Here is a 19,972-nt window from a genome sequence, read left to right as displayed (position 1 = left end):
AAAGAGAGGGCTGGAGTTGGGTATTTTTCTTCCCCTGTATGGAAAGCTAGAGGCAGTTAAATTTGGATATTTTCCTTCTTCTAATTCAGTTAGGCTGCGACAAAAATCCCGACAGTTTAGGCTCTAATATTATAAAATAATTTCTCTTGAGTATAGGCCTTATTAAGAACACTATACTCTGATGGAGCTGAGGGGGAGTTTTCTCTGATATTCACTGCGAGAACCTCGTAGAGCTCCAGGAAGCAAAACTCACAAAAGTGTGGGAGTCTTCCAGAATTTTTCCTTTGCAGACTTATCTGCACTGAACCTCCAGAAATTCATCAATTACAGTTCAGGTTTTCCTACCCAGGTACTGGTTTTCATGGAGGTTTCTGCCTGTGCATTTCTGCTCCAGTAAGTTGTTCTTCTTGTATGGTCTGTCTTTCAAATTTTTTAAGTAGGGTTATGACCTGTCGCCTCACTTCTCTGACAGTTCTGAGAGTGTTGATTTTTCAGTTTGCTTAGATTTTTACTTGTTTTTAGGATGAAGTGACAATTTCCAAGCTCCTCCCTGACATGCCAGATCAGAAACTGAAAGTCCTAAGCCTCATATTCTGTGCGTGGGTATGTTCACATCCTGCCTGCTCCAGTGCCCCCACCTCACACTCTCTTTCCCTTCCTTGTCCCCTTGTGAGATTTCTAGGTCCAATACAAAGACTGTGTTCAACTCATTCAACTACTTTGGCTCATCTGAGTATTATAATGAACAATCACAAAAAAAAATGAAGTAAAAGAAAAATCCATCAAAGAATTGAGATATTTGAGAAAAAGAAAGGAGATCAGTGTTTTATAAAACTTAGAAATAGATTTTTTAAGTGTTTCTTCATTGACTTATGTGAAAGGACTTTTCTTAATTTAACAAATTATGTGCTTTCGTTTATAGCCTCAAAACTTCTTGTGTAGCTAAGAATGGGTAAATAATCAGGCTTTACTAAAGGACTAACGTAAAGATCTTCTGTAAGTAACATTTCTGCTACTCAAGGAAGAGATAAACTTCATGGCATAACCTTGCCAAAGTATACTAAGAATAACCCTGACACAAAGCTCTTTTTTCAGCCAACATGCCATGAAAGAAAGAAGACAAGGGGTGATCTCCACTCTCTAAGTGAACCACTAAACCCACCAAAGAAGAAACGAGGGAAATAGAAAGAGGACCCTTGCCTGAGATAATGGATCTGTATGTATGAGTAGTAGAACCCTGCTCAAAGTACAAGGAAGGGAAAAAAAAGTTAGTTTATTTGGAATTTTGGACATTAAGAGTCTTTATTGTTCATTTTCTTTTAACTCACATGAATGGCTTATCACTTCAATTAATAAATATTTCATTTCTTTTCAACATATTCATGAAACAAATCTGAAATGAACAGTGCAACATGTGAATGTTTAGAACATTATAAAATTAAACACAAAATCTGTCTGGCAATCTTCCTAGCATCTTAGGAAAAAAGTTGACAAAATTTCAAGCAGCAGAAGGGGGCAGTAAAACTCAACAGAAAGCTCTGGAAGATTTTTAAGATTCTTCCTTATTTTCTTTTCATGTAGATTATTTCCCAACAAATTTCAGACGCTAATAGAAATTTTGTACAACAGATCCATATATTTGCCTAAAATAGACACAGAAACATTGAATATATGCAAACATGAGAGCTATAAGTTTTACATGATCAAACCTTTTTTTTATGGTACACAATAGTCACAGTACTTTTCCATATAAAACAGGTTTAGTGGTCTTAATTTAGTTTGGCACATTTAATACACTCCCATGACCAGCATCCCAAATGTACCTATCCGTTTTATTTTATTGTCTCAGAATTGTCAGTTATTTAATAAATTATGTAACTTTTTTCCTTATGCTCAGATTTGCACTTCTTTCTAAAACTCTGCCCATCCTTAAAGTCCCAGATTCTCCTTGAACTTTTTTTTTTGACTTTCCAAGTACATGGAACTCTTCACTCTATCCTGCTATATAAGTGACAGAATTTCCACTATGGGATAGATGGAGTTCAATTCCTTTGAGTTTAAAATAATCTAAATATAATTATTCCTTATGCCCTGTTTTTCCCTCACTTTTGTATCCAAATCTCTTTTCAGACAACAGAACAATTAATGTCTGATAAGGAAGACAATGATGATGATCACTTCAAAATGAATTCAGGATTGTAATGTAAAATTTTAGTACTCTCTCACAGTATGGATTCTAACATGGCTTCTAACCCAAACTAACATTAGTAGCTCTAACTATAAACTTCAAATTTCAGTAGATGCAACCTACTCCTTTAAAATGAAACAGAAGATTGAAATTATTAAATTATCAAAAAGAAAATGATCCACGCTCTTAGTTGAAATTTCATGTAAGATTCCATGCAATAAATAGGAGTGCCATAAATGGAATGATGAAATATGACTAGAGGAGGAGAAAGGCTTCCTAGATGAGATGGAATTTTAGTCATCCGTGTCTCATGAAGAATCAGATGTGTACACTAAGCAAAACAGTTAAAAAAAAAACCTCCAAGTGAGTCTCTTATTTATTTTTTTCTTATAAGACTTCTACAAATTGAGGTACCTGGTGTAGTTTTATTTCAGGTTTTATGCTGTCATTTTCCTGTAATGCTAAGGACTTAGGACATAACTGAATTTTCTATTTTCCACTTCTTTTCTGGTGTGTGTGTATATATATATGTATATATACACACACACATATACATATATATATTTTTTAGTATCTCACCCTCACATGCTCCTCCCTGAGCACTACCCATGATAGATGTTAAACAAAAGCAAAGATGAAATTCCAACTGTCAAAATCTCCCTTCCATCTAATTAATTCCTCATCCAACTATGTTCCAAAACGAGAATAGAAAATTAGCCCCAATAAGCCCAGGCAACTGAAAAGTAAATGCTATGTTGTACTTTGATCCATGGTCACAACTCATAATCTTGGAAAAGTGGACAGAAAAGACAAAAGAGTGAACTTTAAAACTCGAATTTATTTTACCAGTATCTCCTATGAAGGGCTAGTAACCAAAATAATCCACGCATCAGGGAGAGAAATGCCTTAAGGCATACGTTTTGGACATTTAGCGTCCCTGCAAATTCTGGCCATCGCCGCTTCCTTTGTCCATCAGAAGGCAGGAAACTTTATATTGGTGACCCGTGGAGCTCACATTAACTATTTACAGGGTAACTGCTTAGGACCAGTATTATGAGGAGAATTTACCTTTCCCGCCTCTCTTTCCAAGAAACAAGGAGGGGGTGAAGGTACGGAGAACAGTATTTCTTCTGTTGAAAGCAACTTAGCTACAAAGATAAATTACAGCTATGTACACTGAAGGTAGCTATTTCATTCCACAAAATAAGAGTTTTTTAAAAAGCTATGTATGTATGTGCTGCATATAGAGCAGATATACAGCCTATTAAGCGTCGTCACTAAAACATAAAACATGTCAGCCTTTCTTAACCTTACTCGCCCCAGTCTGTCCCGACGTGACTTCCTCGACCCTCTAAAGACGTACAGACCAGACACGGCGGCGGCGGCGGGAGAGGGGATTCCCTGCGCCCCCGGACCTCAGGGCCGCTCAGATTCCTGGAGAGGAAGCCAAGTGTCCTTCTGCCCTCCCCCGGTATCCCATCCAAGGCGATCAGTCCAGAACTGGCTCTCGGAAGCGCTCGGGCAAAGACTGCGAAGAAGAAAAGACATCTGGCGGAAACCTGTGCGCCTGGGGCGGTGGAACTCGGGGAGGAGAGGGAGGGATCAGACAGGAGAGTGGGGACTACCCCCTCTGCTCCCAAATTGGGGCAGCTTCCTGGGTTTCCGATTTTCTCATTTCCGTGGGTAAAAAACCCTGCCCCCACCGGGCTTACGCAATTTTTTTAAGGGGAGAGGAGGGAAAAATTTGTGGGGGGTACGAAAAGGCGGAAAGAAACAGTCATTTCGTCACATGGGCTTGGTTTTCAGTCTTATAAAAAGGAAGGTTCTCTCGGTTAGCGACCAATTGTCATACGACTTGCAGTGAGCGTCAGGAGCACGTCCAGGAACTCCTCAGCAGCGCCTCCTTCAGCTCCACAGCCAGACGCCCTCAGACAGCAAAGCCTACCCCCGCGCCGCGCCCTGCCCGCCGCTGCGATGCTCGCCCGCGCCCTGCTGCTGTGCGCGGTCCTGGCGCTCAGCCATACAGGTGAGTACCTGGCGCCGCGCACCGGGGACTCCGGTTCCACGCACCCGGGCAGAGTTTCCGCTCTGACCTCCTGGGTCTATCCCAGTACTCCGACTTCTCTCCGAATAGAGAAGCTACGTGACTTGGGAAAGAGCTTGGACCGCTAGAGTTCGAAAGAACTCCGTGGATATTCCAGCTTTCCCACAAGCACTGATCATTATGAGCCAGTTACTTAACCGATCTGAGACACTCTCACCTCCTAAATAGGGATAGATGATACTAATTTGCAGGTTGTCATTATGATAAGACAGGATCTGATCAATATATGTGAATTGTTTATATTTGGAACCTTTTTATTGAGTGGAAGAAGTTGTTTTAAATATTCTAGTCAGTTCTTTCCTGCTCCCAGGAAAGCCCGGATTATGTTTTAAGATAAGCAAAATGTCTTAAAAGTAAGCTGTTTTACTTTGAATTTTTCCCTAAATGTTGATTAGTGTACTAGATCCATTTTAATTTGGAAAGTGAAGTGCTACTTATTTGAACTTCTTAAAAATGCTAATTTTAACATCTAAAGAGTTAACTAAGAAAAGCTTAGTAACATGATGTACCAAGTTGAATATGCTGTTATCCTTATTTAGAATAGAAAATTGGTATTTCTACGTTTTATCCATTCTAAGGCAGGTTAAAAAATTGTATTTCCATGACTACCTATATATTTCTTGAATTTATTATTGTAAAGTTGATTCATAGTCAAACAATTAAATGTTTAAATTAAGATTAAGACACTAGAGAATGATTTATTTGCTGTCCTTTAATTGCAGCAAATCCTTGCTGTTCCCACCCATGTCAAAACCGAGGTGTATGTATGAGTGTGGGATTTGACCAGTATAAGTGCGATTGTACCCGGACAGGATTCTATGGAGAAAACTGCTCAACACGTAAGTTTGTCCTTTGGTTGCCTCATTAGGAGTGGGGCTGGATACAGTTATCATTGTATAGATTTGTGTCTTATAATGAGTCCCATTAATTTCTCCCTCCCTTTCTTCGTCTTCTTGCAGCGGAATTTTTGACAAGAATAAAATTATTTCTGAAACCCACTCCAAACACAGTGCACTACATACTTACCCACTTCAAGGGATTTTGGAACGTTGTGAATAACATTCCCTTCCTTCGAAATGCAATTATGAGTTATGTGTTGACATGTAAGTACAAGTGTCTTTCTAAGGTTTTTAGCCTTCTCAAAGAAAAATATGCTTTATAATACTGTAAGCCTAATCTAAAAACATATTTCCAAGCTTATCAAAAAGACTTTAAGATAGCTTTTAAGTTTGCCTTCCATCTTAATCGCCAAAAATATTGACATTTAGTCCCATCCAGTTTATACAGTCTGCTCACAACTCTGTATACCTCTTCTAACCTTTACTGTTTGGTCAGTTTGTGGAGGTAGCATGGTCCAGCTGTTTATTGAATGCCCATGGGCCACAGAATTGTTCTGAACATGTAGCACCCATTAAAATAAATTTGGATTTGGATCAGCAAGAAAATAACTTTCCATGATTCTAAAGTGGGTGCCATACTCAGCCATTCCTTTCATAGGCCTCTTGGATAGTGAGCAGATGGCTACCTGAAAAATCAATATTGCCAGATTATAATGTGCAGAGTATATGTATTTTATTAAAGATGTATTTCAAGTGGCCATTAGACTATAAAGTGTAGTTGTTTAAAAATAGATTTTTTTTATTTTGGAGTTACATTCAACCTCAGGTGCCACTTTCCACATTTTACAATAAAAATAATGGTTGATTTACTTAACAAATGAGAATAAATAAAACATTTTTTTCTTTGAAAATTTCAGCCAGATCACATTTGATTGACAGTCCACCAACTTACAATGCTGACTATGGCTACAAAAGCTGGGAAGCCTTCTCTAACCTCTCCTATTATACTAGAGCCCTTCCTCCTGTGCCTGATGATTGCCCGACTCCCTTGGGTGTCAAAGGTGAGTAAGAAGAATCCATTAGAGATGTATTAACTATAAGACGGGCTGCATTGCTGCCAAAAAAAAAAATTGACCTTAGACTACCATTTATTTATTAACAAAAGCAGTTTTTACTTTTAGCATGGTTATCTATGGGTATTTTTTAAAGTATGAGTCTATATAAACTATTATGTAAAAGCAAATGAGCGTCTTGGTATAATGTCTTAATATTTTCAAATTATTTCTTTAGAAATGAAATAATTCTAATTAAAATAGATAAAATCATTCAGTAAGAAGTTGTTCCACCATATCTTAGAACTGTTGTTTATATTATGATCCTATTCACAATTGTAATTCTCATATAAATGAAGAATTCTTGGTAGATTGACAGTCACCATCTCCTTTCTTGAATACATAGATGGATTCTTACCTTAGCTTTCTCATTTTTCAGGTAAAAAGCAGCTTCCTGATTCAAATGAGATTGTGGAAAAATTGCTTCTAAGAAGAAAGTTCATCCCTGATCCCCAGGGCTCAAACATGATGTTTGCATTCTTTGCCCAGCACTTCACGCATCAGTTTTTCAAGACAGATCATAAGCGAGGGCCAGCTTTCACCAACGGGCTGGGCCATGGGGTAAGATAGAGTTAATATCTTAGAGTTAGTAAAATTATACCAAATCATAGTCAAGGGCTAACATTAAAGGAGATATACAGATAGATAGATCCAAATAACTTATCCACTTTTTTTAAAAAGAAGTCTTATCTATAAAAACCTTAAAGGAATTTTCCATTTACTTCACTGGTCTAGTAAAATTATACACACACACAGACATGCACACACATATATAAACATTCACACACATACATATGTACAGGTATTGTTATTTGTAATTTGACCCTTGTATTTTTTAGTTTAAAATGTTAGTACTGCAAAATGTTATGTCCTCAAAAACACATTGTACCATGATTATGCCGCTTTCAATATTGTAAAGTGAGGTTTTTGCCGCATTATTATTTTTTGGATTTCAATAGCATAGCTTCAAGTTATTCGTAAGAATTTTTTATAAATAATACATTTTTATACTTTTTTATAATTACCATATCATCATAGTGAAGTATATAATATATATGATATAAGCTCAATATAGTATATTAATTCCGTTAAACACAAAGACATATCAGTTTGTAGCTTTGGTGGATAAACAAATTAATTTAGCAATTCATGGCTATGAAAAATGTATATTTTATTTAAAAATTTTAAAGAAAGCTAAATGATCAAATTATTTAATGATGAATTATATGATAGACACTTTATATAAGAAAAACTTCAACAGCAACAAATTAAAATTTTTTCATCATTTTCTAGGTGGACTTAAATCATATTTACGGTGAAACTCTGGCTAGACAGCGTAAACTGCGCCTTTTCAAGGATGGAAAAATGAAATATCAGGTATGCTTCCTTTGACTATTAAGACTTAGTTATTACCGCTTATACCCATATTTTAAAATCCCTAAAAATGTGTTCCTTAACTTTTTAACTGATGTTTATTTATTTATTTATTTTTTTAGATAATTGATGGAGAGATGTATCCTCCCACAGTCAAAGATACTCAGGCAGAGATGATCTACCCTCCTCAAGTCCCTGAGCATCTACGGTTTGCTGTGGGGCAGGAGGTCTTTGGTCTGGTGCCTGGTCTGATGATGTATGCCACAATCTGGCTGCGGGAACACAACAGAGTATGCGATGTGCTTAAACAGGAGCATCCTGAATGGGGTGATGAGCAGTTGTTCCAGACAAGCAGGCTAATACTGATAGGTAAACAAGAAAATGATTTATATAAAACCCTCTTCCCCAGGGAAAATTAGTGTGCTATCTTTGTTATGTTTTGAGTAAATGACAAGATGTGGTAAATGAAAACTCACACATTCTATATACATTAAATATGTAAGCATGACTGATAAAATAGCTATCTTTTGATACTGACAAGGAAGAAAACAGAAATGAAGGAATAGCAAATTTTAAAAATTGCATTCCAGTTGCTTGAAAGCTTGTGATCAGATGCAATAAATGTTTTTATTATTTATTTTGTGCAAATAGGAGAGACTATTAAGATTGTGATTGAAGATTATGTGCAACACTTGAGTGGCTATCACTTCAAACTGAAATTTGACCCAGAACTACTTTTCAACAAACAATTCCAGTACCAAAATCGTATTGCTGCTGAATTTAACACCCTCTATCACTGGCATCCCCTTCTGCCTGACACCTTTCAAATTCATGACCAGAAATACAACTATCAACAGTTTATCTACAACAACTCTATATTGCTGGAACATGGAATTACCCAGTTTGTTGAATCATTCACCAGGCAAATTGCTGGCAGGGTAAGCATTATTATTGAAAACCAAAACAAAAGACTAGTCAGTAACTTTAGAATTTCTGCCACGGAAATTATTTTTCTTAAACTTACTAAAAGAGTAGTTAGTTATATTGCTAGTAAAATTATTTTATTGATATAAGAAGCCTAACTTTGTTTGAAAAGTCTAAACTTTTAGTCTAGTCTACAGTTGTCAGACAAATAGCAAATTGTACCCCTACCTTAAAAATATTTTCAAAAAGTATCTATAATCTTATAGGAATAAATATTTTAGGCTTGAATACTAGTGTTATTTTTGAAATGTAAAAAGGCAAATTAGTTCTAGGCTGGTGTCCCATTGAATTTTAAGCAGAGCTCCTGTTGAAATGTAGGTAAGCATCTTTCCAGCAAATAAAAATTGTCTCCGCTGGGAGTTTCAGTTTTACCTGATTTGTACCTAAGGCAAGCTGAATACAAACAGTAAATATGCCTAAAATTCTTGTTTTACAACTAATTTTACTTTCCACAGGTTGCTGGTGGTAGGAATGTTCCACCCGCAGTACAGAAAGTATCACAGGCTTCCATTGACCAGAGCAGGCAGATGAAATACCAGTCTTTTAATGAGTACCGCAAACGCTTTATGCTGAAGCCCTATGAATCATTTGAAGAACTTACAGGTAAGAAACAGTTTCTAAACTTCTTCGTTTTTTGTTTGTTTGTTTGTTTTTGTTGTTTTTGGTTTTCTTTTCGAGATGGAGCCGCCCTCTGTCACCCAGGCTGGAGTGCAGTGGCGCCATCTCGGCTCACTGCAACCTCCGCCTCCTGGGTTCAAGCAATTCTCCTGCCTCAACTTCCTGAGTAGCTGGGACTACAGGCTCACGTCGCACGCATGGATAATTTTTTGTATTTTCAGTATAGACGGGGTTTCACCGTGTTAGCCAGGCTGGTCTCAAACTCCTGACCTAGTGATCCGCCGGCTTCGGCCTCCCGAAGTGCTGGGATTACAGGCGTGAGCCACCGCGCCTGGCCCCTAAACTTCTTAAAAGAATCAGGGGTCAAATGGAAACAGAGAAGTTGGCAGCAAATTGAGCAAAAGAATCAAACTGTTTTTTATTTTGTGAAGTTTGACATTGGTTGTATCTCTGTCTTCATCGCCTTCACAGGAGAAAAGGAAATGTCTGCAGAGTTGGAAGCACTCTATGGTGACATCGATGCTGTGGAGCTGTATCCTGCCCTTCTGGTAGAAAAGCCTCGGCCAGATGCCATCTTTGGTGAAACCATGGTAGAAGTTGGAGCACCATTCTCCTTGAAAGGACTTATGGGTAATGTTATATGTTCTCCTGCCTACTGGAAGCCAAGCACTTTTGGTGGAGAAGTGGGTTTTCAAATCATCAACACTGCCTCAATTCAGTCTCTCATCTGCAATAACGTGAAGGGCTGTCCCTTTACTTCATTCAGTGTTCCAGATCCAGAGCTCATTAAAACAGTCACCATCAATGCAAGTTCTTCCCGCTCCGGACTAGATGATATCAATCCCACAGTACTACTAAAAGAACGTTCGACTGAACTGTAGAAGTCTAATGATCATATTTATTTATTTATATGAACCATGTCTATTAATTTAATTATTTAATAATATTTATATTAAACTCCTTATGTTACTTAACATCTTCTGTAACAGAAGTCAGTACTCCTGTTGCGGAGAAAGGAGTCATACTTGTGAAGACTTTTATGTCACTACTCTAAAGATTTTGCTGTTGCTGTTAAGTTTGGAAAACAGTTTTTATTCTGTTTTATAAACCAGAGAGAAATGAGTTTTGACGTCTTTTTACTTGAATTTCAACTTATATTATAAGAACGAAAGTAAAGATGTTTGAATACTTAAACACTGTCACAAGATGGCAAAATGCTGAAAGTTTTTACACTGTCGATGTTTCCAATGCATCTTCCATGATGCATTAGAAGTAACTAATGTTTGAAATTTTAAAGTACTTTTGGTTATTTTTCTGTCATCAAACAAAAACAGGTATCAGTGCATTATTAAATGAATATTTAAATTAGACATTACCAGTAATTTCATGTCTACTTTTTAAAATCAGCAATGAAACAATAATTTGAAATTTCTAAATTCATAGGGTAGAATCACCTGTAAAAGCTTGTTTGATTTCTTAAAGTTATTAAACTTGTACATATACCAAAAAGAAGCTGTCTTGGATTTAAATCTGTAAAATCAGTAGAAATTTTACTACAATTGCTTGTTAAAATATTTTATAAGTGATGTTCCTTTTTCACCAAGAGTATAAACCTTTTTAGTGTGACTGTTAAAACTTCCTTTTAAATCAAAATGCCAAATTTATTAAGGTGGTGGAGCCACTGCAGTGTTATCTTAAAATAAGAATATTTTGTTGAGATATTCCAGAATTTGTTTATATGGCTGGTAACATGTAAAATCTATATCAGCAAAAGGGTCTACCTTTAAAATAAGCAATAACAAAGAAGAAAACCAAATTATTGTTCAAATTTAGGTTTAAACTTTTGAAGCAAACTTTTTTTTATCCTTGTGCACTGCAGGCCTGGTACTCAGATTTTGCTATGAGGTTAATGAAGTACCAAGCTGTGCTTGAATAATGATATGTTTTCTCAGATTTTCTGTTGTACAGTTTAATTTAGCAGTCCATATCACATTGCAAAAGTAGCAATGACCTCATAAAATACCTCTTCAAAATGCTTAAATTCATTTCACACATTAATTTTATCTCAGTCTTGAAGCCAATTCAGTAGGTGCATTGGAATCAAGCCTGGCTACCTGCATGCTGTTCCTTTTCTTTTCTTCTTTTAGCCATTTTGCTAAGAGACACAGTCTTCTCATCACTTCGTTTCTCCTATTTTGTTTTACTAGTTTTAAGATCAGAGTTCACTTTCTTTGGACTCTGCCTATATTTTCTTACCTGAACTTTTGCAAGTTTTCAGGTAAACCTCAGCTCAGGACTGCTATTTAGCTCCTCTTAAGAAGATTAAAAGAGAAAAAAAAAGGCCCTTTTAAAAATAGTATACACTTATTTTAAGTGAAAAGCAGAGAATTTTATTTATAGCTAATTTTAGCTATCTGTAACCAAGATGGATGCAAAGAGGCTAGTGCCTCAGAGAGAACTGTACGGGGTTTGTGACTGGAAAAAGTTACGTTCCCATTCTAATTAATGCCCTTTCTTATTTAAAAACAAAACCAAATGATATCTAAGTAGTTCTCAGCAATAATAATAATGACGATAATACTTCTTTTCCACATCTCATTGTCACTGACATTTAATGGTACTGTATATTACTTAATTTATTGAAGATTATTATTTATGTCTTATTAGGACACTATGGTTATAAACTGTGTTTAAGCCTACAATCATTGATTTTTTTTTGTTATGTCACAATCAGTATATTTTCTTTGGGGTTACCTCTCTGAATATTATGTAAACAATCCAAAGAAATGATTGTATTAAGATTTGTGAATAAATTTTTAGAAATCTGATTGGCATATTGAGATATTTAAGGTTGAATGTTTGTCCTTAGGATAGGCCTATGTGCTAGCCCACAAAGAATATTGTCTCATTAGCCTGAATGTGCCATAAGACTGACCTTTTAAAATGTTTTGAGGGATCTGTGGATGCTTCGTTAATTTGTTCAGCCACAATTTATTGAGAAAATATTCTGTGTCAAGCACTGTGGGTTTTAATATTTTTAAATCAAACGCTGATTACAGATAATAGTATTTATATAAATAATTGAAAAAAATTTTCTTTTGGGAAGAGGGAGAAAATGAAATAAATATCATTAAAGATAACTCAGGAGAATCTTCTTTACAATTTTACGTTTAGAATGTTTAAGGTTAAGAAAGAAATAGTCAATATGCTTGTATAAAACACTGTTCACTGTTTTTTTTAAAAAAAAAACTTGATTTGTTATTAACATTGATCTGCTGACAAAACCTGGGAATTTGGGTTGTGTATGCGAATGTTTCAGTGCCTCAGACAAATGTGTATTTAACTTATGTAAAAGATAAGTCTGGAAATAAATGTCTGTTTATTTTTGTACTATTTAAAAATTGACAGATCTTTTCTGAAGATAAACTTTGATTGTTTCTATACATCTTTGTCATATGACATAAGATTTCTCTGAAGCATTACTCTTAAACCATTATCTTGCATTCTCCTACCTATTCAAAACTAGGACTGGCCCTTCATGAAATGGTTTTGCCCTCAATTATATAGAGGCTTCCTAGAGTCACTATTTAAATCTCATAATCCTTATTCACTGCGACACTGTGTTGGAAAATGTCTAGTTTGTGTATCTTTACAGAAGATGGCAAACAAGCTTATTTTCATTGCCTAGTCTAGAAGAAGAAGAAAAAAATACACAATAAGGCAAAGAATAAGACATATATTATGAAGGGGGCACAAAGTTAAGAAGTTCAAAGAGGAGGAAATTATACAAAGTTGGGCAAATCATTGATGCAAAAGCTCATAGGCTTTTGTTGTACCTCTATCCTTGACATCTTGGTAATTTCAATATCTACATGGACCACATATTTAGCATCTTCCCTGGCCTCTCCTCTTTGGCCTTCTCCATTCCAGGGATGGCCTCTTCCACCATATTTCCTGAAATCATACATATCTTGATATCATTATGATTAATTACAGCACCACTTTCAAAATCTTGATTCCAAGCATCTTCCAGCTCACCTATTTTATTGCTTACACTCTAACATCTAACTCTCAGTCTCACTGAACCTACCGATCCACCAACCTCATCACTTCACTATTTATCACCTGTTTTATCTTTCCATTTACTTCCATATGCATCTAGCTCAGATTCTATTGTCCATCATTCTAATCATTCCCCTCTGCTCTGTATATTCTCCCTCTACTGTGCTGAATTGACACAAGTTGATTAAATCCAGCCATTCTCCTAATCTGTTTTTTATTTGGCTTCTCAGTAGCATTCAACACAAATAGCTATAATCTCTTTACTGAAAGAACCCCTGCCCCAACCTTGGCTTCATGGTTTGATACTCTCCTGGTCTTTCTCTACCTTTCTCAGAGCACTATTGCTCAGTCTTTTCTCTCTCTCTTTTTTTTAAGCTCTTTCTCTTCTACTGTATGTATAAGTTGAAGTGTCTTGATATCTGCTCTGTCTGCATTCCTCCAGATTAATCACATTTAAGCTCATTATTTGAAATAATAAGCACTCAGAAATAAGCACTCCAGGACCAACGTCTAATTGTCAATTGACAACATCTCCAAATTGTCAATTGACAACCTCTCCACTCAAAGTCATCAATTTAATTGCTTCTTTTACATTCTTCCCTCCCAGAACCATATATCCCAAATAATAATTGTCCAACGTTAAAGACACCACCATACTCTTTCCTTCACTTGCATAGCCAATCCAACAGCAATCCTGTTGACTACAACCCACAAATAAATCTTAAATCTGTCACCTTTTTTCCAACTTCACAACCTAGCAGTGTAATAGTCTATTAATTGGTGTTCTCTTGTCTATTCTTTCCTCAGCCCAAACCATTCTCCTTATGGCAGTGGCAGTAATTTTATATATATATATACACACACACTTTATACTTTAAGTTCTGGGACACATGTGCAGAACGTGCAGGTTTGTTACATAGGTATACATGCGCCATGGTGGTTTGCTGCACCCATCAACTTGTCATCTACGTTAGGTATTTCTCTTAATGCTATCCCTCCCCTAGCCCCCCACCCTTCGACAAGCCCCAGTGTATGATGTTCCCCTCCCTGTGTCCGTGTGGTCTCATTGTTCAACTCCCACTTATGAGTGAGAATATGCAGCGTTTGGTTTTCTGTTCCTGTGTTAGTTTGCTGAAAATGATGGTTTCCAGCTTCAACCATTTCCCTGGAAAGGACATGAATTCATCCTTTTTAATGGCTGCATAGTATTCCATGGCATATATGTTCCACATTTTCTTTATTCAGTCTGTCATTGATGGGCATTTGGGTTGGTTCCAAGTCTTTGCTATTGTGAACAGTGCCACAATGAATATACATGTGCATGTGTCTTTATAGTAGAATGATGTATAATCATTTGGGTATATACCCAGTAATGAGATTGCTGGGTCAAATGGTATTTCTGGTTCTAGATCTTTGAGGAATCTCCACACTGTTTTCCACAATGGTTGAACTAATTTACAATCCTACCAACAGTGTAAAAGCGTTCTTATTTCTCCACATGCTTTCCAGCATCAGTTGTTTTCTGACTTTTTAATGATTGCCATTCTAACTGGCATGAGATGGTATCTCATTGTGGTTTTGATGTGCATTTCTCTAATGACCGGTGATGAGCTTTTTTTCATGTTTGTTGGCTGCATAAATGTCTTCTTTTGAGAAGTGTCTGTTCATATCCTTTGCCCACTTTTTGATGGGGTTGTTTGTTTTTTCTTGTAAATTCATTTAAGTTCTTTGTAGATTCTGGATATTAGCCCTTTGTCAGATGCATAGATTGCAAAAATTTTCTCCCATTCTGTAGGTTGCCTGTTCACTGTGATGGTAGTTTCTTTTACTGTGCAGAAGCTCTTTAGTTTAATTAGATCCCATTAGTCAATTTTGGCTTTTGTTGCCATTATTTTTGGTGTTTTAGTCTTGAAGTCCTTGCCCAATGTCTATGTCCTGAATGGTATTGCCTAGGTTTTCTTCTAGGGTTTTTATGGTTTTAGGTCTTACATTTAAGTCTTTAATTCTTCAATGCAGAAAAGACCTTCAGTAAACACCCCCTCATGCTAAAAACTCTCAATAAACTAGGTATTGATGGAACATATCTCAAAATAATAAGAGCTATTTATGACAAACACACAGCCAATATCATACCTAATGGGCAAAAGCTGGAAGCATTCCCTTTGAAAACTGGCACAAGACAAGGATGCCCTCTTTCACCACTCCTATTCAACATAGTATTGGAAGTTGTGGCCAGGGCAATCAGGAAAGAGAAAGAAATAAAACTTATTCAAATAGGAAGAGAGGAAGTCAAATTGTCTCTCTTTGCAGATGACATGATTGTATATTTAGAAAACCCCATCATCTGAGCCCAAAATCTCCTTAAGCTGATAAGCAACTTCAGCAAATTCTCAGGATACAAAATCAATGTGCAGAAGTCACAATCATTCCTATACACCAATAATAGACAAACAGAGAGCCAAATCATGAGTGAACTCCCATTCACAATTGTTACAAAGATAATAAAATACCTAGGAATCCAACTTACAAGGGATGTGAAGGACCTTTTCAAGAAGAACTACAAATCACTGCTCAACAAAATAAAAGAGGACACAAACAAATGGAAGAATATTCCATGCTCATGGGTAGGAAGGATCAGTATCTTGAAAATGGCCATACTGCCCCAAGTAATGTATAGATTCAATGCTATCCATTGACTTTCCATTAAGCTACCATTGACTTTCTTCACAGAATTGGAAAAAACTACTTTAAATTTCATATGGAACCAAAAAAAAAGAGCCCGTATAGCCAAGACAATCCTAAGCAAAAAGAACAAAGCTGGAGGCATCATGTACAGTAACCAAAACAGCATGGTACTGGTACCAAAACAGATATATAGACCAATGAAACAGAACAGAGGCCTCAGAAATAATACCACACATCTACAACCATCTGATCTTTGACAGTCCTGACAAAAACAAGCAATGGGGAAAGGATTCCCTATTTAATAAATGGTGTTGGGAAAACTGGCTAACCATATGCAGAAAACTGAAACTGGACCCCTTCCTTACACCTTATATAGGCAGTAATTATGTTTTAACATAAATCATATCATGCCTTTCCCATGTTTAAAATCTTCCAGTAGCTTCCTACTACACAATGGAAAAATATAATCTTCTTATCCTACCCTATGAGGATCTCAATGGTCTATTCCCTGCCCATCTATCTGAGCTTATCTACTAAAATTCCACACTCTTATTCATTATGCTCCAGACACAGTGGCTTTCTTGTGATTTCCTCAGTAGCTGTGATTCTCAGGTGTTGCCCTATTTTGAATATTTCTTATGCAGATTTTCACATCCTTCTCAACATTTAGATCTCAGCTCAAATTTCCCCTTTTTAGAAAGGGCTTCTCCAACCACCAAACTAAAGCAACTACTAAGGCTGTTTGATTTTCTTTATACCATTTATTTTATCTAATATTGTCTTATTTGTGTGTTTACTATCTATGTCCCCTTTCTGGAATTTTGTGTCTGTGAAAGCAAGGACCTTGCCTGCATTATTCACAGGTTCCAGAACAGTGCCTGACATTTAAAAGGCATTCAAAAATAAATATATGATTAATAAATAATAACAGACTTCATGAAAGAAGTAGAATATGTGGTGATTCTTGAAGAAAGAGTAAGATCTTAGAGAGCAGAGACATCCACGATGAAAAAGTTTGGTAATTTATTCTTGAATTAAAAATTCACTTACTTATATGTAATGCCTTTCTGCTTATGTTATTAACAAAATACTGCAAAATTATGAGCTCAAATTCATTATCTAAAGTTCTGGAGGTTAGAAGTTAGAACTTCTAACTTATGAACTAAAATCTTATGAATTTTATGAACTAAAATCTTATGAACTAAAAACTTAAAAACTTATGAACTAAAATCTTATGAACTAAAATCAAGATGTCAGCAGGGCTGTGTTTCTTCCGAAAGCTCTAGGGGAATTTATTCCTTGACTTTTCCAGCTTCTAAAGGTTGCCTTGGCTCATAATTTATTTCTCCATCTTTAAAGCCAACAGGATAGCATCTTCCAAAGTCTCTAACTCGGATTGTTTTACCTTCCCCTCTCATAATGACCCTTCTGATTGCCCTGGGGCCCATGCAGATAATATAGGAAATTCTCTCCTGCTCAAGATCCTTAATTTCTTCACATTTACAAAGTCCTTTCTGTCATGTAAGATAACATTCACAGGTTCTTGAGATTAAGGCATGGACATTTTGGGGGAGCCATTATTTTGTTTACCATACCACACAACCCAACTGTATTTGCACTCTTGACCAATTATCCAAGAATTGTACTTCTTGGCCTTTACCCCCCAAAAATAAAAACCTATGTTCATGCAAAAACCTGTGCATGAAAGTTGTAGCACATTTATTCATGATAGCCAAAAGCTGGAAACAACCCAAAGTCCATCAATAGATGAATGATTAAACTAACTGTACCAAGCTGTGGTATCTCTGTGGTATCAATGAAATACTATATAGTGAAAGGAAAAAAGCCTACTAATACACACAGCACTTTGGATGGAACTCAAGGGAATTATGTGTAAATTATGCTGAGTAAAAAAAGCCAGTGTTAAGTTCCACGTGTAATTCCATTTATATAACATTCTTGATATAACAAAACTATAGAGGTGAAGAAAATATAGTGGTTGCAAGATTAGCAATTGGTGGGAGGATTAGAAGCTATAAAAGAGTAGTGTAAGGGATATGTGTGCTGCTTGAACAGTTCTTTGATTAAGGTAGTAGTTACACAAATCTCTATACATGGCATAATTGCATAGAACTATACACACACAAAAAAACATGTAAATGCATATATAAATTGTGAAATGTAAATATGTTCTGTGGATTGTACCAAGATCAGTTTCCTGGTTTTGATATTGTACTATAATTATGCAAGATGTCAACATTGGGGGAGGTATTATGAAGTTTGCATCTTTCCTCTTTATACATTTCTTTGCAACTTTCTATGAATTTATAATATTTCAAAATAAAAAGCCTTTTTTAAGGAAAAGATGCAAGGTTCTTCTTGTTGATGGGGTTAGGTTTGCAAGCCATTTTTGCACCACATGATTTCCTTTATCCTCATCAAAACTGCCAGAATAGATTATCCGCAGAATGAATACTGAACCCAAGCTAGAAAATAAAATTCCTTCTCTTAGGAGTTTGGCAATTAGGATGAAGAACCTAGTTCAGACTGACAATTTTACAGTTGACAATGATGACTATGCAATCTGATTGGTAAACCAAAATCTCTTTTCAGTAAATAGTATAGGAACTACTGAACATTCGCACAAATAGAAAGAACCTTAATTCTACCTCACAACACTCACGAGTTAATTCAAATGGTTCCTTTATCTACATATAAAACCTAGAACTATAAAGCTCCCGGAAAAAAATATTGTATATCTTTATAAGCCTGAGGTAAGCAAAGATTTTAGATAGGATCCAGAAGGTACTAATTATAAAAGAAAAAATTGATAGAATGGACTTCAAAAAATTAATAAAATTGCTCATCAAAAGACTATATTAGGGGCTGGACAGAGTGACATACGCCTGTAATCCCAGCACTTTGCGAGGCCAAGGCAGGCAGATCACTTGCAGTCAGGAGTTCAAGAACAGCCTGGCCAGTATGGTGAAACCCTGTCTTTACTAAAAATACAAAAATTAACCTGGCATGGTGGCAAGCGCCTATAATCCCAGCTACTCAGGAGGTTGAGACACGAACATCGCTTGAACCTGGAAAGTGGAGGTTGCAGTGAGCCAAGATTGTGCCACTGCACTCCAGCCTGAGCAACAGAGTGAGACCCTGTCAAAAAAAAAAAAAAAAAAAAAAGACTATATCAGGAAAGTAAATATACAAACCACAGACATATAGAAAATAATTGCAGTACACATATAGAACAAAGGATTTGAATATAGAATTTATAATTACCTTCTTCAACTCAATAGCAAAAAAGACAAACAATAAAAATAAACAAAAGTCTTAAGCAGGAACTTTACAAAGGAAAACATGAGTGCTCAATAAGTAAATGAAAATGTGTTCAGCATCATCAGTCACCAATAAAATGCAAATTAAAACAGCAGTAAGATACTACTACACACCCACTAGAGTCATTAAAGTTTAAAAGACCAACTGTGATTGTTAATTTTGTGTGTCAACTTAACTAGGCTTTGATATCTATTTGTTTGGTAAAACACTAGTCTAGATGTTGCTGTGAAGGTATTTTTTCAGTATATAATTAACATTTACATCAGTAGAGTTTGAGTAAAACTTATTTCTTTACATAATGTGATGAACCTTGCCCAATCAGTTGAAGTCCTTAAAAGTAAAGTGTAAGGTTCCCCAAAGAAGAAATCCTCCTTAAGATTGTGCCCTGGTTTAAATGATGGTGCCCTCTCTCTCCAAAATTCATGTTGAAACCTAATGCCCAATGCAACAAACAGTATTAAGAGGTGGTGTGTTCTTTGGGAGGTGATGAAGTCATGAGGGCTCCATGCTCACGAATAGGATCAGCACTCTTATAAAAGGGCTTGTGGGAGTAGGTTCCCTTCCGCTCTTCTGCCATGTTAGGATGCAGCAAGAAGGCTCTCACAAGACACATAATCTGCCAGCAATTTGATTTTAGAATTATGAGCCTCTAAAATGTGAGAAA

At 36.1% G+C, this 19,972-nt stretch overlaps 1 protein-coding gene and 1 long non-coding RNA gene across 2 annotated transcripts, besides 2 other annotated features; one reads left to right on the top strand and one right to left on the bottom strand.

Moving 5' to 3' along the window:
* PACERR (PTGS2 antisense NFKB1 complex-mediated expression regulator RNA) lies at positions 3,007-3,799 on the bottom strand. Its single transcript, NR_125801.1, has one exon. It is a non-coding gene; the product is annotated as a PTGS2 antisense NFKB1 complex-mediated expression regulator RNA (long non-coding RNA).
* On the top strand, positions 4,030-12,662 carry PTGS2 (prostaglandin-endoperoxide synthase 2). Its single transcript, NM_000963.4, has 10 exons — positions 4,030-4,214; positions 5,015-5,131; positions 5,252-5,395; positions 6,049-6,192; positions 6,623-6,804; positions 7,537-7,620; positions 7,740-7,986; positions 8,269-8,555; positions 9,057-9,204; positions 9,691-12,662. The coding sequence occupies exons 1-10, from the start codon at positions 4,163-4,165 to the stop codon at positions 10,098-10,100; spliced, it is 1,815 nt and encodes a 604-aa protein (NP_000954.1). The 5' UTR covers positions 4,030-4,162; the 3' UTR covers positions 10,101-12,662.
* Positions 5,680-6,879: an enhancer, noted in NCBI's record as "MED14-independent group 3 enhancer chr1:186646706-186647905 (GRCh37/hg19 assembly coordinates)". NCBI's record gives its function as "activates an origin of replication core promoter dependent on BRD2, BRD4, P300/CBP and CDK7 cofactors, and independent of MED14, by STARR-seq in HCT116 cells {active_cell/tissue: HCT116}" and the evidence as "EXISTENCE:reporter gene assay evidence [ECO:0000049][PMID:35650434]".
* Positions 13,682-13,976: a silencer, noted in NCBI's record as "tiled region #15579; HepG2 Repressive non-DNase unmatched - State 24:Quies". NCBI's record gives its function as "represses a minimal TATA promoter and a strong SV40 promoter by Sharpr-MPRA in HepG2 cells {active_cell/tissue: HepG2}" and the evidence as "EXISTENCE:reporter gene assay evidence [ECO:0000049][PMID:27701403]".

This window comes from Homo sapiens, chromosome 1, assembly GCF_000001405.40.
Source record: "Homo sapiens chromosome 1, GRCh38.p14 Primary Assembly".
Taxonomy (NCBI): Eukaryota; Metazoa; Chordata; class Mammalia; order Primates; family Hominidae; genus Homo; species Homo sapiens.
The sequence above is the reverse complement of the archived record's forward strand: the minus strand, read 5'-3'. Positions and strand labels throughout refer to the sequence as shown.

What these genes read in the sequence shown, in the direction of transcription:
- PTGS2 (NM_000963.4), top strand. Translation starts at nt 4,163, where the DNA reads ATGCTCGCCCGCGCCCTGCTGCTGTGCGCGGTCCTGGCGCTCAGCCAT. An exon ending in CCTGGCGCTCAGCCATACAG is followed by an intron (nt 4,215 to 5,014) that starts GTGAGTACCTGG and finishes CTTTAATTGCAG; the next exon opens with CAAATCCTTGCTGTTCCCAC. An exon ending in ATCATTTGAAGAACTTACAG is followed by an intron (nt 9,205 to 9,690) that starts GTAAGAAACAGT and finishes TCGCCTTCACAG; the next exon opens with GAGAAAAGGAAATGTCTGCA.